Source organism: Homo sapiens, chromosome 8, assembly GCF_000001405.40.
Source record: "Homo sapiens chromosome 8, GRCh38.p14 Primary Assembly".
NCBI lineage: Eukaryota > Metazoa > Chordata > Mammalia > Primates > Hominidae > Homo > Homo sapiens.
The window spans coordinates 39,121,867-39,146,743 of record NC_000008.11 but is presented as its reverse complement, the minus strand read 5'-3'; the positions used below and the strand labels follow the sequence as shown (position 1 = coordinate 39,146,743).

The window sequence follows — 24,877 nt, the reverse complement described above, 5'->3', positions numbered from 1 at the left end:
GACTAAAAGAAGAGCATTCTAAAATGTAAAAGAGGCTGGACGTGGTGGCTCACACCTGTAATCCCAACACTTTGGGAGGCCAAGGTGGGCAGATCACCTGAGGTCAGGAGTTTGAGACCAGCCTGGCCAACATGGTGAAACCCCGTCTCTACTAAAAATACAAAAATTAGTCGGGTGTGGTGGCAGGTGCCTATAATCCTAGCTACTCAGGAGGCTGAGGTGGGAGAATTGCTTGAACCCAAGAGGCAGAGGTTGCAGTGAGCTGAGATCACACCACTGCAATCCAGCCTGGGTGACAGAGCAAGATTCCGTCTCAAAAAAAAAAAAAAAAATTTAATAGACATAAACTGGATGTTGGATTGTAAGAGTTTTCTGTTCTTACATTCTTTCTAAAGCTTTATTACTATGCACATATATTACTTTGATAATGAAGTGGAAGAGTATTGCATAAAGGTCATATTCATCTGAGCATATGTACTGAAACGTCCAGTCTAAGTTCAACTTTGGTATTAATCCCTGTACTCATGATGCTATTTTAGTTATGCTTCCTCACTTCATGTTCACTCTTCAACCCACCGTCACTTAATTAGGCCACTCACACTAGCTTCTGTTGGAAAGCCTCCACTCAAACTGATCTCACAAAAATTACTAATGACCTCCTGAGTGTCCAATCCAAAAGACAGTATTATGTCAAGTAAAAATACTCTGAAGCAGCCAGGCGGGGTGGCTCACTCCTGTAATCCCAAAACTTAGGGAGGCCGAGGTGGAGGGATTGCTTTGGGCTCAGGAGTTCGAGACCAGCCTGGGTAACAAGGCGAAACCTCATCTCTACCAAAAATACCAAAATTAGCCAGGTGTGGTGGTCTGCTCATGTGGTCCCAGCTACTTGGGAGGCTGAGGCAACAGGATCACTTGAGCCAGGAGTTCAAGGCTGCAGTGAGCTGAGATGCCACCACTGCTTTCCAACCTGGGTGACAGAGAGAGACCCTGTCTCAAAAATAAATAAATAATAAAAATAATTTTAAAATACATTAAACAAAAAAATAAATAAATAAAATACTCTCAAGTACTTCATACTGTGGACCACATTCCCCTTCTTGAAACCATCTCTTCTTCAGTGATAATGATAGATACCACTTCCTCCTGGTTCTCCTGTCTTTCTACGTTTCTAAGTCCCTTTATTTGGATCCTTCCTTCATCCCTTAAATGTTTCCATGGCATTCAATTCTAGGCTGTTTCTCTTTCTTACTTTTAACATTCACCCCCACCTGTATAGATTTATCTTGTTCATTTCTGTGGTTTAATTTACTACTTATATAAAAAGGTTGCTTTTAGTATTATAGCTTTGCAATATATTTGAATTCAGGTAGTGTGATGCCTCCAGCTTTGTTCTTTTTGTTCAGTAGTGCCTTGGCTATTCAGGGCCTTTTGGGGTTCCATAGGAATTTACTATTTCTGTGAAAAATGTCATTGGAATTTTGGTAGGGATTGCGTTGAATTTGTGTATCAATTTGGACAGTATGGACATTTTAACAATATTAACTCTTCCAATCCATGTTCTTTCCATATATTTGTGTCTTCCTCAATTCCTTTCATCATGTTTTCTAGCTCTCAGTATACAGATCTTTCACCTCCTTGGTTAACTTACTCCTAAGTATTTTATTTTTTGTAGCTATTGTACATGGGGTTGTTTTCTTGATTTCATTTTTGGAAAATTTCTTATTAATGTATAGAAATGCTATGATTTTTGTATGTTGATTTTATATCCCACAACTTCACTGAACTTGTCTATTGGTTCTAACAAATTTTGGTGGAGTCTTTAGGGTCTTCTATAAGTAATCTACATATAAGATCATGTCACCTGCAACAGGAACAATTTAACATTTCTCTTTCCCATTAGGATGCCTTTTATTCATTGTTCTTGCCTAATTGCTGTGGCTAGGACTTCCAATACTATGTTGAATAGAAGAGGTGAAGGAAAATAGGCATCCTAATCTTGTTCCTGATATTAGATGAAAAACTTTCAACTTTTTACCACTGAGTATGATGTTAGCTATGGCTTTGTCATATATGACATTTTTGTGTTAAGGTATATCTCTTCTAGGCCTAATTTGCAGAGAGTTTACATCATGAAAGAATGTGGATACTCACACTTCTCTCCCCCATTCTAAACTAAATTAACTGCCATCAGGATATTTCCCCCTGTGGGATATCCCACAAGCACTTCATACCCAGCATCTCCAACAGGGAGCCATAATACCTGACTCAGGTCTGTTCTCATCCTCCCTCTACCCTACCAAATCCCTGCCACCACTATAGTCAATCTGTTACTACATCTTTTTTCTGCCACATCAGCATTTCTCAAAAACAGGAAAAGGGAGGCTTGCTTCCAAGATGGCTGAATAGGAACAGCTCTGGTCTGCAGCTCCTAGCAAGATCAACACAAAAGAGCAGTGATTTCTGCATTTCCAACTGAGGTACCTGGTTCATCTCACTGGGACTGGATCAACAGTGGGTACAGCCCACGGAGGGAAAGCTGAACCAGGACAGGGTGTTGTCTCACCCGGGAAGCTCAAGGGGTCAGGGGATTTACCTTTCCTAGCCAAGGGAAGCTGTGACAGACTGTACCTGGAGAAACAGTACACTCCTGACCAAATACTGCACTTTTCCCACAGTCTTAGCAATCAGCAGACCAGGAGATACCCTCCTGTGTCTGCCTCAGCAGGTCCCATGCCCATGGAGCCTTTCTCACTGCTAGTGCAGCAGTCTGAGATTGCCCTGCAACACTGCAGCTTAATTGGGGGAAGGGTCATCTGCCATTACTGAGGCTTGAATAGCCTACAGTGTAAACAAAGTGGCCAGGAAGCACGAACTGGGCAGACCCCACCACAGCTCAGCGAGGCCTACTACCTTTATAGATTCCACCTCTGGGGGCAGGGCATAGTAGAACAAAAGGCACCAGACAGCTTCTGCAGACTTAAACATCCAGTCTGACAGCTCTGAAGAGAGCAGCAGTTCTCTCAGCACAGCATTTGAGCTCCAAGAATAGACAGACTGCCTCCTCAAGTGGGTCCCTGACCCCCATGTAGCCTGACTGGGAAACACCTCCCAGTAGGGGTCGACAGACACCTCAAACAAGCAGGTGCCCCTCTGGGATGAAGTTTCCAGAGGAAGGATCAGGCATCAATATTGGCTGTTCTGCAGCCTCCACTGGTGATACCCAGGCAAACAGGGTCTAGAGTGGACCTACAGCAAACTCCAACAGACCTGCAGCTGAGGGGTCTGACTATTAAAAGGAACTAACAAACAGAAAGGAATAGCATCAACATAAACAAAAAGGACATCCACACCAAAACCCCATCTGTGGGTCACCAACATCAAAGACTAAAGGTAGGTAAAACCACAAAGATGGGGAGAAACCAGAGCAGAAAAGCTGAAAATTCCAAAAAAACAGAGTGCCTCTTCTCCTCCAAAGAATAACAGCTCCTCGCCAGCCAGGGAACAAAATTGGACGGAGAATGAGTTTGACGAGTTGACAGAAGTAGGCTTCAGAAGGTCGGTAATAACAAATTTCTCCAAGCTAAAGGAGCATGTTGTAACCCATCACAAGGAAGCCAAAAACCTTGAAAAAAGGTTAGACAAATGGCTAACTAGAATAAACAGTGTAGAGAAGAACTTAAATGACCTGATGGAGCTGAAAACCATGGCACGAGAGCTTCATGATGCATGCACAAGCTTCAATAGCCGATTCGATCAAGTGGAAGAAACAATATCAGTGATTAAAGATCAAATTAATGAAATAAAGTGAGAAGACAAGATTAGAGAAAAAAAGAGTGAAAAGAAACTAACAAAGCCTCCAAGAAATATAGGGACTATGTGAAAATACCAAATATATGTTTGATTGGTGTACCGGAAAGTGACAGGGAGAATGGAACCAAGATAGAATACACTCTTCAGGATATTATCCAGGAGAACTTCCCTAACCTAGCAAGGCAGGCCAACATTCAAATTCAGAAAATACAAAGAACACCACAAAGATATTCCTCGGGAAGAGCAACCCCAAGACACATAATTGTCAGATTCACCAAGGTTGGAATGAAGGAAAAAATGTTAAGGGCAGCCAGAGAGAAAGGTTGGCTTACCAACAAAGGGAAGACCATCAGACTAACAGCAGATCTCTCGGCAGAAACCCTACAAGCCAGAAGAGAGTGGGGGCCAATATTCAACATTCGTAAAGAAAAGAATTTTCAACCCAGAATCTCATATCCAGCCAAATTAAGCTTCATAAGTGAAGGAGAAATAAAATACTTTACAGACAAGCAAATGCTGAGAGATTTTGTCACCAACAGGCCTGCCCTAAAAGAGCTCCTGAAGGAAGCACTAAACATGGAAAGGAACAGCCGGTACCAACCACTGCAAAAACATGCCAAATGGTAAACACCATCAATGCCATGAAGAAACTGCATCAATTAATGGGAAAAATAACCAGCTAACATCATAATGACAGGATCAAATTCACACATAACAATATTAACCATAAATATAAATGGACTAAATGCCCCAATTAAAAGACACAGACTGGCAAATTGGATTTAAAGAGTCAAGACCCATCGGTGTGCTGTATTCAGGAAATCCATCTCACGTGCCACTTAAAAATGCACATAGGCTCAAAATAAAGGGATGGAGGAAGATCTACCAAGCAAATGGAAAACAAAAAAAGAAAAAGAAGGGGTTGCAATCCTAGTCTCTGATAAAACAGACTTTAAACCAACAAACATCAAAAGAGACAAAGAAGGCCACTACATAATGGTAAAGGGATCTATTCAACAAGAAGAGCTAACTATCCTAAATATATATGCACCCAATACAGGAGCACCCAGATTCATAAAGCAAGTCCTTAGAGACCTACAAAGAGACTTAGACTCCCACACAATAATAATGGGAGACTTTAACACCCCACTGTCAATATTAGACAGATCAACAAGACAGAAGGTTAACAAGGATATCCAGGACTTGAACTCAGCTCCGGACCAAGTGGACCTAATAGACATATACAGAACTCTCCACCCCAAATCAACAGTATATACATTCTTCTCAGCACCACATCACACTTATTCTAAAATTGAACACATCATTGGTAGTAAAACACTCCTCAGCAAATGTAAAAGAACAGAAATCACAACAAACTGTCTCTCAGACCACAGTGCAATCAAATTAGAACTCAGGATTAAGAAACTCACTCAAAACCACACAACTACATGAAAACTGAACAATCTGCTCCTGAATGACTACTGGGTTCATAATGAAATGAAGGGAGAAATAAAGATGTTCTTTGAAACCAATGAGAACAAAGACACAATGTACCAGAATCTCTGGAACACATTTAAAGCAATGTGTAGAGGGAAATTTATAGCACTAAATGCCCACAAAAGAAAGCAGGAAAGACCTAAAATTGACACCCTAACATCACAATTGAAAGAACTAGAGAAGCAAGAACAAACAAACTCAAAAGCTAGCAGAAGGCAAGAAATAACTAAGATCAGAGCAGAACTGATGGATATGGAGACACAAAATCCCTTCAAAAAATTAATGAATCCAGGAGCTGGTTTTTTGAAAAGATCAACAAAATTGATAGACCACTAGCAAGACTAATAAAGAAGAAAAGAGAGAAGAATCAAATAGATGCAATAAAAAATGATAAAGGGGATATCACCACCAATCCCACAGAAATACAAACATCAGAGAATACTATAAACACCTCTATGCAAATAAACTAGAAAATCTAGAAGAAATGGATAAATTCTATGCAAATAAACTAGAAAATCTAGAAGAAATGGATAAATTCCTGGACACGTGCACCCGCCCAAGACTAAACCAGGAAGAAGTTGAATCTCTGAATAGACCAATAACAGGTTCTGAAATTGAGACAATAATTAATAGCCTACCCACAAAAAAAGTCCAGGACCAGACAGATTCACAGCCAAATTCTACCAGAGGTACAAAGAGTAGCTGGTACCATTCCTTCTGAAATTATTTCAATCAATAGAAAAAGAGGGAATCCTCCCTGACTCATTTTATGAGGCCAGCATCATCCTGATACCAAAGCCTGGTAGAGACACACACAAAAAAGAGAATTTTAGGCCAATATCCCTGATGAACATCGATGCGAAAATCCTCAATAAAATACTGGCAAACTGAATCCAGCAGCACATCAAAAAGCTTATTCACCACGATCAACTCAGCTTCATCCCTGGGATGCAAGGCTGGTTCGACATATGCAAATCAATAAATGTAATCCATCACATAAACAGAACCAATGATAAAAACCACGATGATCTCAATAGATGCAGAAAAGGCCTTTGACAAAATTCAACAGCCCTTCATGCTAAAAACTCTCAATAAACCAGGTATTGATGGAATGTATCTCAAAATAATAACAGCTATTTATGACAAACCCACAGCCAAAACGGGAAGCATTCCCTTTGAAAACCCACACAAGACAAGGATGCCCTCTCTCACCACTCCTATTCAACATACTGTTGGAAGTTCTGGCCAGGGAAATCAGGCAAGAGAAAGAAATAAAGGATATTCAATTAGGAAATGAGGAAGTCAAATTGTCCCTGTTTGCAGATGACGTGATTATATATTTAGAAAACCCCATCATCTCAGCCCAAAATCTCCTTAAGCTGATAAGTAACTTCAGCAAAGTCTCAGGATACAAAATCAATGTGCAAAAATCACAAGCATTCCTATATACCAATGATAGACAAACAGAGAGCCAAATCATGAGTGAACTCCCATTCACAACTACTACGAAGAGAATAAAATACCTAGGAATCCAACTTACAAGGGATGTGAAGGACCTCTTCAAGGAGAACTACAAATCACTGCTCAATGAAATAAAAGAGGATACAAACAAATGGAAGAACATTCCATGCTCATAGATAGGAAGAATCAATATCATGAAAATGGCCATACTGCCCAAGGTAATTTATAGATTCAATGCCATCCCCATCAAGCTACAATGACTTTCTTCACAGAATTGGAAAAAAATACTTTAAAGTTCATATGGAACCAAAAAAGAGCCCGCATTGCCAAGATAATCCTAAGCAAAAAGAACAAAGCTGGAGGCATCATACTACCTGACTTCAAACTATACTACAAGGCTACAGTAACCAAAATAGCATGGTACTGGTACCAAAACAGAGATATAGACCAATGGAACAGAACGGAGGCCTCAGAAATAACACCACACATCTACAACCATCTGATCTTTGACAAACCTGACAAAAACAAGAAATGGGGAAAGGATTCCCTATTTAATAAATGGTGCTGGGAAAGCTGGCTAGCCATATATAGAAAGTTGAAACTCGATCCCTTCCTTACACCATACAAAAAATTAACTCAGGATGGATTAAAGACTTAAATGTAAGACCTAACACCATAAAAACCCTAGAAGAAAACCTAGGCAATACCATTCAGGAGATAGGCATAGGCAAAGACTTCACAACTACAACACCAAAAGCAATGGCAACAAAAGCCAAAATAGACAGATGGAATCTAACTAAACTAAAGAGCTTCTGCACACCAAAAGAAACTATCATCAGAGTGAACAGGCAACCTACAGAATGGGAGAAAATCTTTGCAATCTACCCATCTGACAAAGGGCTAATATCCAGAATCTACAAATAACTTAAACAAATTTAAAAGAAAAAAAGCAAACAACCCCATGAAAAAGTGGCCAAAGGATATGAACAGACAATTCTCAAAAGAAGACATTTATGCAGCCAACAGACATATGAAAAAATGCTCATCATCACTGGTCATCAGAGAAATGCAAATCAAAACCACAATGAGATACCATCTCACGCCACTTAGAACAGCAATCTTTAAGCGGTCAGGAAACAACAGATGCTGGAGAGGATATGGAGAAATAGCAACCCTTTTACACTGTTGGTGGGTGTGTAAATTAGTTCAACCATTGTGGAAGACAGTGTGGTGATTCCTCAAGGATCTAGAACTAGAAATACCATTTGACCCAGCGATCCCATTACTTGGTATATACCCAAAGGATTATAAATCATGCTACTATAAAGACACATGCACACATATGTTTATTGTGGCACTATTCACAATAGTAAAGACTTGGAACCAACCCAAAAGTCCATCAATGCTAGAATGGATAAAGAAAATATGGCATATATACACCATGGAATACTATGCAGCCATAAAAAAGGATGAGTTTATGTCCTTTGCAGGGACATGGATGAAGCTGGAAACCATCATTCTAAGCAAACTGTCACAAGGACAGAAAACCAAACACCGCATGTTCACACTCATAGGTCGGAGTTGAACAATGAGAACACATGGACACAGGGCAGGGGATGTCACACACCAGGGCCTGTTGGGGGGTGGGGGACTGGGGGAGGGATAGCTTTAGGAGAAATACCTAATGTAAATGACAAGTTGATGGGTGCAGCAAACCAACATGGCACATGTATACCTATGTAACAAACCTGCACGCTGTGCACATGTACTCTAGAACTTAAAGTATAATAAAAAAAGAACTAAAAAAACATACACACAAAAAAAGGAAACTCCCTATCTCTATGTAGTCATAGTTCTGCTTCTCATTATTTTTCATATAAACTATTTGCAGTAGCTTCCTAATGGTCGTTAGGCTATCATAATCATTAAGCAGTTAATTTCTCAAAACGATATACACATGCCCTATCCCTCTCCCAAGCTCTGGTCTCTCAATTTCTCAACACTGCTTATAGTCTTAGTAAGATGTTCAAATGCAATGTGAGCTCTCTAACTTTCCTTCATACTCTTCACAAAGATCTTTGCGTTATCATCCACCATATTCTTTTTCTCTTCTGCCTAAAAGAGTAAGTTAACCTTTTCTTTGGGAAAATTATTTAGTATCTTACACACAATAAACCACTTGTTTACACCTTTTTTTTTTTTTTTGAGACAGTGTCTCACTCTGTCACCCAGGCTGGCGTGCAGTGGCACCATCTCGGCTCACTGCAACTTCTGCCTCCCAGGTTCAAGCGATTCTCCTGCCTCAGCCTCCCGAGTAGCTGGGATTACAGGCGCACGCCACCATGCCTGGCTAATTTTTGTATTTTTTAGTAGAGACAGGGTTTCACCATGTTGGGCAGGCTGGTCTCAAACTCCTGACCTCAGGAGTTTGATCCACCTGCCTCAGCATACCTAAGTGCTGGGATTACAGACGAAAGCCACCGCGCCCAGCTTGTTTACATCTTTCATCTCTCTTTTCTTCTCCTTAAGAAATTTTCCATCAATCAAAATACTTTGTTTTCTCTTTCTTCAAAAATATTCATGTAAGCCTCTTTTTTCTCTGAGGGATGTTTTTGAAAAAGTCTATAATTGCTACCTCTAGTTTCTCATAATCCACCTCTCTCCAATGCCATGTAGTCTAGTTTTACTAGTTTAGCTGAAGCTGTCCTCTTGAATGTCACAAATTACTTCCAAGCCAGCCTTTCCCAACTGGGCTTGCATCAGAGAATTAAACCCTATAGAAAATTATTTCAATTATTTAATAATTCTCTGAAGAGTGGCATATAGCTAGGACTATTTTCCATAAACTATTCGCCAGCTCTGCAACACTATAAGGTCTGTATTAAATCCCTGTCCCATATTACTCATGGTCATCCCACTTCTCTGATAAAACCCTAACTGATATAAACCAGCTACAGATTTACTTATTTTTGTGACATCTGCCCTGATGATATAGGTCCTGCTGGTCCTGCCAACTTAATATCATAAATCAGTCTTCAGGAGATAAGTCCCTGTTTTTTGTCCTAACTCCCATTTACCAAAGAATACTTGAGACATTAAAACCAAAATTTAATTAAGTCACAGGACAGCATCTCTTCACTTAAGACAATTAAAAAAGTTAATAATTCCATGTATTTTTCTCATACTCCATTTTCTATTGCAAGTAAACAGCTTCATAGAAATAAAATAAAATCCAAAACTAAAGAATAAAAATTTACCTTTGTTTAAGGTGCACAGTGTACAGTTTCTCATCTATTGGAATAATATAGGATATTTGTTCCTAGAGAATTCAAAACAACTGAGAGTGAAGACAAATTTAATACAAGAAGCAAAACAACAGTTTTATATCAATTAATCTGTCCAAACAATGCTTAAAACATCTTCATTACATTTCTCAGACTACATGTGATTTAAAATGTGCAACAACACATCAAAAAATTTAATATTTACTTATTTTATAATGGTTTTTACTATTTCCACACAAATAAACCCAGTCTAAGGATTTACATAGGATTAAAAATCTACCTGTAACTAACCTGTAACCTCTTATGAATGAATAGGTCACGTGCTACACTAAAATACCTATTTAGGTGGCATCATTGGGATAAGAGGATATTCTACATCAGTGAAGCTTACTCTGTCCACCATAAAAATTATTTAACCATTTTCTTAAAAACCCTCCTAAGATGTATTGTCTGTTCCCTATATTTTAAACAGAAGATTATTGAACAAAATTTAATATTGTCTTTGACTTTATCTCTACTATTTTCAAGTTAGAATATGGATGACAATAGGTTGGAATATCTGTAGGTCAGTGAACCTCAGTGATGAGATTTTATAGAGCAAAAGGGAACACGTGAAAAGCAAGAGGTAGAGAAACAGAGAAAAAATTAGTTAAAACATATAGAAATGAAAAGGACACAAATATCAAAACACAGAAAAAGGATAAGCATTCCAGGATCTCTGAAAATAAGAAGCAACCAGGGTACCATACAGATCAAAGAAGAATGAGGCAGTTTGTTTCCAGGTCAGAAATGAAACCAGATCGTCAACATTATTGGTGATAACTCAACTTGATATCATGTACCCCATGATATGATGTCATGAGGAGAGCACCTCATCTCTATGTTAATCTTCCCTAAAATTCACTGAACATGAGAAAATATCAGACAAATCCAAATTGAGGGGTGTTCTACAAAGTACCTGACCTCCTCAGAACTGTCAAGGTCATGAAATTCAAGGAAAGACTGAGAAACAGAGCAAAGGAGCCTGGGAGGGGGCATGCTGGGTAGTATTCTGGATTGGATCCCGGAACAAAATGGACAGTAGAAGACAAACTAGTTGAAATCCAGAAATCCAAAGAAAGTAGTTTCCTTACTAGTAATGTATCAATACTAATTTCTTGTATTTAATAAATATAATGTATTCATGTGGCTATATAAGAGCTAACATTACAGGAAACTGAGTGAACAGTATATATGGGAACTCTGTAGTCTTTTAGCAATTTTTCTGTATATCTAAAATTATTCCAAATTTTCAGAAGTTTATTTTTAAAAAAGAAAAACCAGACATAAATCGAGAAAACAAAAGAAGCATAACAGGCATATGGCAAATATAAGGCAGAAGGACCAAAGAGAAAACCCTAACCCTGAAACAGCAGGGCATCCTACTTTTTAAATTTGCATTGGTGACACTAGCTCCTTAGTGAGCCTGATCTGAATGTGATAACTGAACACAGATGCTTGAGCATCTTTATCGTTTTTTGTTTTTGTTTTTTTCTTGCGACAGAGTTTCGCTCTTGTTGCTCAGGCTGGAGTGCAGTGGCGCCATCTCAGCTCACCGCAACTTCTGCCTCCCGGGTTCAAGTGATTCTCCTGCCTCAGCCTCCCGAGGAGCTGGAATTACAGACATGCGCCACCACGCCTGGCTAATCTTGTATTTTTAGAAGAGACGGTGTTCCTCCATGCTGGTCAGGCTGGTCTCGAACTCCCAACCTCAGGTGACTCGCCCACCTCGGCCTCCCAAAGTGCTAGGATTACAGGCTTGAGCCACCACACCAGGCCCCATCTTTATCTTTTTTTAAGGTGGATTTGATGTGCAAGCAGTTCTTGGATGAATATTTTTCTCAAACCCAAAACTTAGTAATTATTATTAGTGTCCCAGATAATACTTTGTTTAGCTGTACTTTCACTATGGGAGTTATCATGAAATACCTTTTATTTGCAGACTATATACAGAAGTTTAGGTAGATCTTTAAAGAGTGTAGAGGAGTTGATTATCGGAGGCCATGAGATAATTTACTAAACAATAATGGTAAATTTGTGTTTGCCTCCTCAACAAAGAGGTACCAAAACAGTGAGCAGATAAGCACATGTCAAACAGAGAATCTAGGAGAGAGAACTAGAATTCAGCAGGGAAGTGACAGGGAACCTCTGAGGCCTAGAAGGAAAGACAAGCAAATAAGCAGCTGGCCTGGCCAGGATTGGCTGAGAGCCAGGAGGAAGTCCCCATTGTAGGGAAGAAGCAAGCAAGAGATCTTCCACAGTCCAGGGTCCCACCACGAATGCTCTGCAATACAAGCCACAGGAGAGCCCCTGAGCCTTCACGGGCCCTGCCTACCTGCACTCCTGGTGACTGAATTCTTTCAGACTGGGAATTCACACTGAGTCCCACTCACCCTTCGATACCCAAGCAGAGGCAGCACAGTACCATGTTGAAAGCCCAGCCCCAACAGATTACATCCTGACCTGGGACCCAACAGCCCCATTTCCTCAGCCCTGGAGCCCTGCTGACATCCCCCCATGTCCACCCAGAGGGCTGCAGCAGCGCAACGCCAGCTGGAACAAGTGGGGCAGCTGGGTCCCCAGCACTCTAGCCCACACAATGTCCTACACCCCAGAGAAGGGGCGATGTAGCACATTGGGAAGGCTGCCACCTGGACAAAGGGAGATGAAGCATGCACTCCCCAGAACCTGAGAGCTACCTGCCTGGGGCTGCCAGCACTGACAGCAACCTCACGCGCTCCCAGCAGCAGGGACACAGCACAGTTGCATGGGCCTTCAGTAAGTCTGAGGACCGGCCCACCCAAACGCAGTCCTTGAGCCTGAGGGCAAGCTCAGGCTACCCAACACCACTGTGCCTACATGCACTATCCGGGGATCTGATATCTGGCCAGCCCCACCTGCTATCAGCACCAGTGCCCATGCATGCCTCCCAGGAGCCTGGAAAATGGCCCGCCTAGTCTGCCACAACCCTGACCAGTGCCCACCCACATGCACCAGCCAGGAGCCTGGGAACTGGCTGACCCAGCCTACTGCCACCCGTAATGGTGTTCACATGCACCACCAGACAGCCTGAGGACTGGCCCACTACTGCTACTGCCACTGCTGGTGTCACACACTGCCCAGGGCCCAAGGCCCCATCCACCTGACCTGCCACTGCCACCACTGTAGACTGGCTTGCCTGGTTTCCCCATCCCCAGTAAAGCCTCGCCACAGTCCCCAGTCACAAACATAGCCTAATCCACTGGGAAACTCACAGACATCACTGATGTTGATTATAGTTGAAGAAATCATATAGATATTACATCTCTGCACATGACAACAATATCTGCTTCTGATGTGGGTCTCAAGAAGCTTCCATCCATGGTGGAAGGTAAAGGGGAGCAGATCACATGGTGAGAGAGGAAGAAAGAGAGAGGGAGAGGTGCCAGGTCTCAACTAACAGATCAAGAATTCACTAATTACCATAAGGATGGCACCAAGCCATTCATGAGGGACATCATGACCCAAACACCTCCCATGAGGCCCCACTTCCAACACTGAGGTCAAATTGCAACATGAGGTTTGGGAGAACAAACATCCCAACAATAGCATGGTCCGAAAAAAAGTATTTGAACAAATAATGGCCAAAACCATTCAAAATTTGAAGGAAAACAGTAGTCTACACATCTAAAATTCCAGCCAACCTCAAGAAGAAAAAAATACAAGAAGATACACACCAAGATACATCATATTTAATATGTTGAAAGTCAAACATAAGGAGAAAATCTTGAAAATATCAAGAAAAAAACTCATCACATACAAGGAAGCTGCATTAATACAATTAGTGGCAGATTGTTCATTTGAAATAATGTAGGCCAGAAGGCAGTGAAGACATAAAAAGTGCTGAAAGAAAAAAAAAAATCTGTCAACTAACAATTTTATATCCAGCAAAATCTGCTTTTAAAATGGTGAAATAAAGTCCTGTCTTACAAGAAATACTGAAGAAATTTATTTAGGCTAATAGGAAATAACACCAGATGGTAACTCAAAAAGCAGAAATGGTAAATGTGTGAGTTAACATAAAAAGACTTTAATAGTTTTTCTAATTTCTCTTTTCAATGTCTTTAAAAGATATAGCATTGTGAAAAAGCAATAATTATGATGATATATAGTTGGGTTTAAAAAATATGGATGTAATAATGTGACAAGAACAGTACAGAGAAGAAAGAATTCCATTATATTGGAGCAAAGTTGCTATATTTTACCAGAAATAAGTATTAATCTAAAGTAAATCATGATAGTTAAGATATATTATAATACCTGGATCACCACAAAGAAAATAAGTAGTAAAAATAGCAAAATATTGAGTATAAATTCAACCATATAAATACCTATATTTGATGCAAATGATCTAGAAATCCAAACCAAAAAGCAGAAATAGATTGGTACAATCTATCTATCTCAAAAATAACCTCCGATTGGGCCAGGCGCAGTGGCGCATGCCTGTAATCCCAGCACTTTGGGAGGCCAAGGTGGGCGGATCACCTGAGGTCGGGAGTTCGAGATCAGCCTGACCAACATGCAGAAACCCTGTCTCTACTAAAAATACAAAATTAGCCAGGCGTGGTGGTGCATGCCTGTAATCCCAACTACTCAGGATGCTGAGGCAGGAAAATCGTTTGAACCCGGGAGACGGAGATTGAGGTGAGCCGAGATCGTGCCACTACACTCCAGCCTGAGCGACAAGAGCGAAACTCCATCTCAAAAAATAAAAAACAAAAACCCTCCAATTACATGATGTCTACAAGGGAAACACCTTAGATTCAATACACAAATAGGTTGAAAATAAAATAATGGAAATATATATATTGTAAATAGTAACCATAAAGAGAAGTTATACTAATATCAGACAATATAGGCTTAAAGACAAGAAATATTATCAGAAAGAAAGAAGGACGTTTCACAACAGTAAAATCATCACTGCATCCCAAAGACATAAAAATTGTAAGTGCACACACATTAAATACCAAGCCTCAAAATACATGAAAGAACAACTGACAGAACTGAAAGGAGAAATAGACAATTCAATAATCCTATTTGGAAACTTAAGTACTCCACTCACAATAATGGAGAGAACAACTAGACAAAAAATCAACAAGCACAAAAAAATCTTTGAATGAAACTACTGACAGTCTCATTCTGTCACCCAGACTGGAGTGCTGTGGCACAATCTCAGCTCACTGCAGGCTCTACCTTCTGGACTCAAGTGATACTCCCACCTCAGCCTCCCAGGTAGCTGAGACTACAGGCATGTGCCACCATGGCTGGCTATTTTTTTATGTTTTATTTTTTGGAGAGATGAGATCTCACTATGTTGCCCAGGCTGGTCTCAAACTCCTGGCCTCAAGAGATCCTCCTGGCCAGGCACGGTGGCTCACGCCTGTAATCCCAGCACTTTAGGAGGCCGAGGCGGGCAGATCACGAGGTCAGGAGATCGAGACCATCCTGGCTAACACGGTGAAATCCCCTCTCTACTAAAAATACAAAAAATTAGCTGGGCGTGGTGGCGGGCGCCTGTAGTCCCAGCTACTTGGGAGGCTGAGGCAGGAGAATGGTGTGAACCCGGGAGGTGGAGCTTGCAGTGAGCCGAGATCACGCCACTGCACTCCAGCCTGGGCAACAGAGCAAGACTCTGTCTCAAAAAAAAAAAAAAAAAAGACATCCTCCTGCCTCAGTCTCCCAAAATGCCGGGATTATAGGCATGATAAATGAAACTATTAGCCAACACAAGCTAACTGACTACTAACCCAACAACTGCAGAATTCATATTCTTTTCAAGTGCATAATTAATATTCTTCATGATTGACCATATTCTAGGCCACAAAAAGTCTCAGAAAATAAAACTGAAGTCACAAAAGTACATTTTTTGCTTCAATTGAATTAAATTAGAATCAACAAGAGACAAAACCTAGGAAATCCTCAAAAATTTGAAAATTTAAAAACACACTTCTAAATAACCCATGAATCAAAAAAATTGCAAAGACAACTAGAAAATATTTTAACTGAATGAAAACAAAAACACACCATAGCATAATTTATGGAATCCAGCTAAAGCAATGCTTGTAGAGAAATGTGTGGCTTTAGGTACCTATGTAGAAAGAAAAGAAAAGAAGAGAAGAGGAAGGTATCAAATCAGTAACTTAAATTTCCATCTTAAGACATTTAAACAATGATAACAAACTAACCAAAAGCAAGCAGAAATAACAAAAAAAATTAAACCATAAATAAATGAAATGAAAACAAAAAAACAAAGAAAATCAATGAAACAAGATTATTCTTTGAAAAGATCAACAAAATGGACAAACCTTTAACTAGACTGACGAAGAAAAATAAGAAATTACCAAAATAAGAAATAAAAAGGTACTTCTCTACTGTCCCTTAGAAATTTAAAGTATTATAAGAAAATGTAGGCAGGCAGATCACTTGACGTCAGGAGTTCAAGACCAGCTGGGGCAACATGGTGAAACCCCATCTCTACTAAAAATACAAAAATTAGGTGAGCATGGTAGCAGGCACCTGTAATCCCAGTTACTTGGGAGGATGAGGCAGGAGAATCACTTGAACCTGGGAGGCTGAGGTTGCAGTGAGCCAAGACTGTGCCACTGCACTCCAACCTGGGTGACAGAGTGAGACATTGTCTTGAAAAAAAAAAAAAAAAGGAAATGTGATGTACAATTTTATGCCAACATATTGGATAACTTAGATAAAATTAATAAATTTCTAAAAAGAAACAAGTTACCAAAACTGAATAAAATCCAAATAGACCTATAACAAAGATTACACTCATAATTATAAATCTTCCCAAAAAGAAAGGCCAAGGTGCAGATGAATTCAATGATGAATGCTATCAAATGTTTAAGGAAATAATATTAATCCTTCACAATTCTTTCAAAATATAGAGAAGAAACATTTCTAAATATAGTCTATGAGGTCAGAATTATGGTGGTTATACAATTATACAACAATTAAATCTAGACATTACAAAAAACAAACTATAGACCAATAGCCCTCTTGAAATATTAGCAGACAAATTCCAGTGACATATAAAAAGAATTATACACCATTTATCACAGAAATGCAAGAATGGTTTAACATCCAAAAATTAATTCATATGGTACACCACATCAATAAACTAAAGGAAGAAAAACACATGATCATTACAATAAATGTAGAAAAAGCATTTGAAAAACCCCAATAAACGTTTACAATAAAATTTGACAAATTTGGAATAGAAGGGAACCTCCTGAACATGATAAAGGCCTTTACAAAAACCTCACTAGTTAACAAGAAATTCAGTGTTAAAAGACTGAGTACTTTCTCCCAAGATAGAAACAAAGCAGAAATGCCCCCTCTTACCATTTCCATTCAACAAACTAAAGACATCTAGAAAGAAAAGGAAAATAAGGCATAAAACAGGATAATGCTGTATTTGCAGTGGCATGATCCTGTTTGTAGAAACTCCCAAAGAATCCACAAAAAAAAAAAAAAGACAAAAAAAAACGAGAACCAATGAACAAATTAGGTAAGGTGGCAAGACACATGATTAATAAACAAAAATCAATGTGTATGTGTATTTCCATATACTAGAAACAATCTGAAAAATCAAATTAAAGGAGCATTTCAGTTCACAATAGCATGAAAAATAATAAAATACTTGATGATAAATTTACCAAAACAAGTGAAGGTCCTCCTGTGCATTAAAAATTACCAGATGAAGAACCAAGTATCCCCAGAATGAAGAACTGAGCATTCCCAGTCAAGGGATATTGGAGGCCAATATTCAACATTCTTATAGAAAAGAATTTCCAACATAGAATTTCATATCAGGCCAAACTAAGCTGCATAACTGAAGGAGAAATACGATTCTTTCCAGACAAGCAAATGCTGAGGGAAATCATCACCACCAGGCCTATCTTGGAATAATGCCTGAAGGAAGCACTAAATATGGAAACAAAAACCTGTTACCAGCCACTACAAAAACACTGAAGTACACAGACCAGTGACACTATGAAGCAACTGCATAAACAAGTCTGTAAAATAACCAGCTAGCATCATGATGACAGGATCAAATTCACACATAACAATACTAACATTAAATGTTAATGGGCTAAATGTCCCAATTAAAAGACACAGACTGGCAAGCTGGATAAAGAGCCAAGACCCATCAGTATGCTGTCTTTAAGAGACTATCTCAAGTGCAAAGACACATAGGCTCAAAATGAAGGGATGGAGGAAAATTTACCAAGCAAATAGAAAACAGAAAAGAGCAGAGGTTACAAACCTAGTTTCTGACAAAACAGACTATAAACCAACAAAGATAAAAAATGACAAAGAAGGGCATTACATAATGCTAAAGGGTTCAATTCAACAAGAAGAGCTAATTATCCTAAACATATATGCACCCAATACAGGCACAACCAGATTAATAAAGCAAGATCTTAGAGACCTACAAAGAGCCTTAGACTCCCACAAAATAACAGTGGGAGACTTTAACAGCACACTGTCAATATTAGACAGATCATCGAAACAGAAAATTAACAAAGATATATGGGACCTGAACTCAGCTCTGGATCAAGCAGACCTGATAGATATCTACAGAAATCTCAAGAATAAGAAATTCAGTCAAAACCACACAAGTACATGGACATTGAACAACCTGTTCCTGAATAACTGTTGTGAAAATAATCAAATCAAAGCAGAAATCAAGAAGTTATTTGAAACTAATGAGAAAAAAGAGACAGCATACCAGAATCTCTGGAATGCAGCTAAAACAATTTTAAGAGGGAGATTTATAGCACTAAATGCCCACATCAAAAAGCTAGAAAGATCTCAAGTTAACAACCTAACATCACAACAAAAAGAACTAGAGAACTAAGAGCAAACAAACCCCAAAGCTAGAAGAAGACAAGAAATAACCAAAATCAGGGCAGAACTGAAGGAGATAGAGATATGAAAAATCCTTCAAAAAATCAATAAATCCAGGAGCTGGTTTTTGGGGAAAAAAATAATAATATAGATAGACTACTAGCTTGACTAATAAAGAAGAAAAAGAGAGAAGATTCAAACACAATCAGACATGATACAGGGGATATCACCATTGACCCCACAGAAATACAAACAATCATCAGAGAATACTATAAACACCTCTATGCACATAAACTAGAAAATCTAGAAGAAATGGAAAAACTCCTGGCCACATACACCCTCCCAAGACTGAACCAGGAAGAAACTAAATCCCTGAATAGACCAATAACAAGTTCTGAAAGTGAGGCAGAAATAAATAGCCTACCAACGAAGAAAATCCCAGGACCAGATGGAATCAAAGCTGAATTCTACCAGAGGTAAAAAGAAGACAAAGAAAAGCTGGTACCATTTCTACTGAAACTATCTATACAGTTGAAAAGAAAGGGACTCCTCCCTAACTCATTTTATGAGGCCAGTATCATCCTGATACCAAAACCTGACAGAGATACAACAAAAAAAGAAAACTTCAGGCCAATATCCCTGATGAAAATCAGTGCAAAAATCCTGAATAAAATACTGGCAAACTGAATCCACCTGCATATCCAAAAGCTTATCCACCATGATCAAGTAGGCTTCATCCCCAGGATGCAAGGTTGGTTCAACATATGCAAATCAACAAGTGTGATTCATCACATACACAGAACTAAAGACAAAAACCACATGATTATCTCAATAGATGCAGAAAAGGCCTTTGATAAAATTCAATATTGCTTCATGTTAAAAACCCTCAGTAAACTAGGTATTGAAAGAACATACCTCAAAATAATAAGAGCCATATATGACAAACCCACAGTCAGTATCATACTAAATGGGCAAAAGCTGGAAGCTTTTCCCTTGCAAACTGACACAAGACAAGGATGCACTGTCTCACTCCTATTCAATACAGTACTGGAAGTTCCAGCCAGGGCAATCAGGCAAGAGAAACAAATAAAGGATGTTCAAATAGGAAGAAAGGAAGTCAAACTGTCCTTAAGATGACATGATCCTATATCTAGAAAACCCCATCCTCTCAGCCCAAAAGCTTCTTAGGCTAATAAGCAACTTCAGCAAAGTATCAGGATACAAAATCAATGTGCAAAAATCACTAGCATTCCTATACACCAACAATAGGCAAGCAGAGAACCAAGTCATCAATTAACTCCCATTCACAACTGCTACAGAAAGAATAAAATACCTAGGAATGCAGCTAACGAGGGAAGTGAAGGACCTCTTCAAGGAGAACTACAAACCACTCCTCAAAGAAATCAGAGAGGACACAAACAACTGGAAAAACATTCCATGCTCATGGATAGGAAGAATCAATATCATGAAAATGGTAATTTATGGCCTACCAAAAATAATTTATAGATTCCATGTTATTTCCATTACACTACCATTGACATTCTTCATAGAATTAGAAAAACTATTTTAAGATTCATATGGAACCAAAAAAGAGCCCAAAGAGCCCAAATAGCCAAGACCCGAACTCGAGCAAGAAGAACGAAGCTGAAGGCATCATGCTACATGACCTCAAACTACTACAAGGCTACAGTAACCAAAACAGCATGTTACTGGTACAAGAACAGACACATTGACCAACGGAACAGAATAGAGAACTCAGAAATAAGACCGCATGCCTACAACCATCTGATCTCTGACAAACCTGACAAACACAAGCAATGGGGAAAGGATTTCCTATTTAATAAGTGGTGCTAAGAGAACTGGCAAACCATATGCAAAAAATTTAAACTGGACTCCTTCCTTATACCCTATACAAAAAGTAATTCAAGATGGATTAAAGACTTAAATGTAAAACCCAAAGTAAGAAAATCTGTAAGAAAATCTAGGCAATTCAGGACAAAGGTATGGATAAAGATTTCATGATGAAAACACCAAAAGCAATTGCAACAAAAATTAACAAATGGGATCTAATTAAACTAAAAAGCTTCTGTGGGGCAAAAGAAAGTATGATCAGAGTGAACAGACAACCTACAGAATGGGAGAAATTTTTGCAATCTACTCACTGTACACTAAAAATTACCAGATGAAGAATCGAGTACCCCTAGGATGAAGAACTCATTCTAGCATCAATTCCAAGTTCGAAATTCCATCTAAATATCACTTAAATCAGGTACGGTTGAGATTCAAGTTATGATTCATCCTGAGGCAAAATTCCTCTCCAGTTGTGAACCTGTGAAACCAGACAAGTTACGTGCTTCCAAAACACAATAGTAGGACAGGCATAGAATAGCTATTCCCATGCCAACAAGGAGAAACCAGAAAAAAAGAAAGGAGTGACAATCCCAACAAAGTCCAAAACCTAGCAAGACAAATTCCGTTAGATCTTAAGATCTGACAAACAACAAATATCCAGAGTTTACAAGGAACGTAAGCAAATTTATAAGAAAAAAACAAAAAACTCCATTAAAAATTGGGCGAAGGATGTGAACAGACTCTTGCAAAAAGAAGACATACATGTGGCCAACAAACATATGAAAAAAACTCAACATCATTGCTCATTTGAGATACGCAAATCAAAACCACAATCAGATACTATCTTACACTAGTTAGAATGGTGATTATTAAAAAGTCATAAAACAACAGATACTGGCAATGTTGCAGAGAAAAAAGAACACTTTTACACTGTTGGGGGGAATGTAAATTAGTTCAACCATTGTGGAAGACAGTGTGGCAATTCCTCAAAGACCTAGAGGCAGAAATACCATTTGACCTAGCAATCCCTTTACTGGGTATATAACCAAAGGAATATAAACTATTCCATTGTAAAGATACATACACATGTATGTTTATTGCAGCAGTATTCACAATAGCAAAGACATGGAAGCAACCCAAATGCCCATCAACAATAGACTGGATAAAGAAAATGTAGTATATTGGCTGGGCGCGGTGGCTTATGCCTGTAATCTCAGCACTTTGGGAGGCCAAGGCGGTGGATCACAAGGTCAGGAGATCAAGACCATCCTGGCTAACACGGTGAAACCCCGTCTTTACTAAAAATACAAAAATTAGCTGGGCATGATGGCAGGTGCCTGTAGTCCCAGCTACTCGGGAGGCTGAGGCAGGAGAATGGCATGAACCCGGGAGGTGGAGCTTGCAGTGAGCAGAGATCACATCACTGCACTCCAGCCTGGTCGACAGAGCAAGACTCCGTCTCAAAAATAAAAAAAAAAAAAAAGAAAAAGAAAATGTGGTAAATCTATACCATGGAATACTATGCAGTCATAAAAAGGAACAAGATCATGTCCTTTGCAGAGACATGGATAGAGTTGGAATCCATTATCCTCAGCAAACTAATGCAGGAACAGAAAACCAAACACTGCCCATTCTCACTTATAAGTGGGAGCTGAATGATGAGAACATATGGACGCATAGTGGGGAAAAACACACAATGGGCCCTGTCAGAGAGCTGGGGGAGGGAGAGCATTAGGAAGTATAGCTAACGGATGCTGAGCTTATACCTAGGTGATGGGATGATATGTGCAGCAACCCACCATGGCACACATTTACCTATATAACAAACCTGCACAACCTGTACATGCACCCCTGAACTTAAAATAAATGTTAAAGAAAAAAAAAAAAAGAAGGCCAGGCACAGTGGCTCATGCCTGTAATCCCAGCACTTTGAGAGGCTGACGGAGGTGGATCACCTGAGGTCAGGACATCAAGACCAGCCTGGCCAACATGGCGAAACCCCGTCTCTACTAAAAATACAAAAATTAGCTGGGTGTCATGGCGTGTGCCTGTAATCCCAGCTACCTGGGAGGCTGAGGTAGGAGAATCACTTGAACGCAGGAGGCAGAGGTTGCAGTGAGCCAAGATCGCGCCACTGCACTCTAGCCTGGGAGACAGAGTGAGACTCCAACTCAAACAAAAAAAAAAAAAAAAGGAAAGAAAATTACCAAACTTTAATGACAGAAATTAAAGCTCTAAATAAATGAAAGTATCATACATGTTCATAGATCAGAGCACTCAATATTGTAAAAAGAGCAATTCTCCCAAATTAATCGATACATATTAAATGTAATCTCTATCAAAATCCAAGCAGTTTTTCTTGTAAAAATGAGCATGCAATATGGGAAATGAATTTGGAGGGAACCACAAGGAAGAATGTTATGGATTGAATTGTGCCCCCCGACCAAATCCATATGTTGAAAACCAAACCCCCAGTGTGGAGACAGGACCTTTAAGGAGATAGAGTTAAATGTGATCATAGAGGTATTTTTAGTTGTTCTAAAAATATATATGGAAATAAAAAGGACTTAGAATAGTCAAAGCAATTTTGGAAAAGATGAATAATGAAGGATTTACACTACCCAATTCCAAATCTTGCCCTAAAATGCACAATAATCAAAGCAATGAGATCTTGGTGCAAAGAAAGCCAGCTAGATAAATGGCAAAGACATGAAAGTCCAGAAATAAACCTTTACATTTTTATTTACTTGATCTACAAAGGTATCAAAACAATTCAGTGGGGAAAGTATAGTCTTTTCTACAAACAGTGCTGGGAAAGTTGGATCCACAGGCAAAAAAAACTGAACTTATATCCTGACCTCACACCATATACAAAAGTTTACTCAAATTGGCTCATAGACTATGAGCTAGTAGAAAACACAGAAGAAAATCTTTGTGAGCTTGGGTTAGGTAAAGACCTTACATTAGTCTGCTTAGGCTGCCATAATAAAATATTACAGGCATGGTGACATTAACAACAGAAATTTTAGGACCAGGTGTGGTGGCTCATGCCTGTAATCCCAACACTTTGGGAGGCCAAGGTAGGCAGACCACTTGAGGTCAGGAGTTCAAGACTAGCCTGGCCAACATGGCAAAACCCCATCTCTACCAAAAAATAGCCAAGCGTGGTGGCACATGCCTGTAATTCCAGCTACTTGGGAGGCTGATGCATGAGAATTGCTTGAACCTGGGAGTCAGAGGTTGCAGTGAGCCAAGATAGCACCACTGCACTCCAGCCTAGACAACAGAGGAAGACTCTGTCTCAAAACAAAAACAAAAACAGAAATGTTATTTTCTCACAGTTCTGGATGTTAGAAATCCAAGATAAATATGCTAGCAGGTTGGTTTCTGGTGAGGCCTCTCTTTACGGCGTGTAGGTAGCTCTTTTCTCACTATGTTCTCACATGGCCTTTTTTCTGTGTATGCATGGAGACAGACAAGGACCTCTTGTATCTCTTCCTCTTCTTATAAGGACACCAGTCCAATCAGATTAAGGTCACACCTCTATGATCACATTTAACTCTATCTCCTTAAAGGTCCTATCTCCATACTGGGAGTTTGGTTTTCAACATATGGATTTGGCGGGGGACACAATTCAATTCATAACATTCTTCCCTATGGTGCGCCCCCCAAATTCATTTCCTTCTTGCATGGAAAAGCCCCAAAGCCTTAACTCATTCTAGCATCAATTCCAAGTTCAAAATTTCATCTAAATGTCACTTAAATCAGGTATGGTTGAGATACAAGTTATGACTCATCCTGAGGCAAAATTCCTCTCCAGTTGTGAACCTGTGAAACCAGACAAGTTATGTGCTTCCAAAATACAATAGTAGAACAGGCATAGAATAGCTATTCCCATGCCAACAAGGAGAAACCAGAAAAAAAGAAAGGGGTGACAATCCCAACAAAGTCCAAAACCTAGCAAGACAAATTCCGTTAGATCTTAAGGTTCAAGAATACTCTTCTTTGACAGGATGCTCTACCCTGCTGGG

General features: G+C 39.4%; 1 protein-coding gene across 11 annotated transcripts in view; it reads right to left on the bottom strand.

The window, feature by feature from the left end:
* ADAM32 (ADAM metallopeptidase domain 32) overlaps positions 1 to 24,877 on the bottom strand; it is a 177,389-nt gene that overhangs the window by 138,174 nt on the left and 14,338 nt on the right. For 10 of the 11 annotated variants that reach the window (NM_001313994.1, NM_145004.7, XM_011544433.3 and 7 more), the window contains 1 exon segment: positions 10,026 to 10,087. In NM_001313994.1, coding sequence (NP_001300923.1) covers positions 10,026 to 10,087 — 62 coding nt within the window. 11 annotated transcript variants of the gene reach the window in all.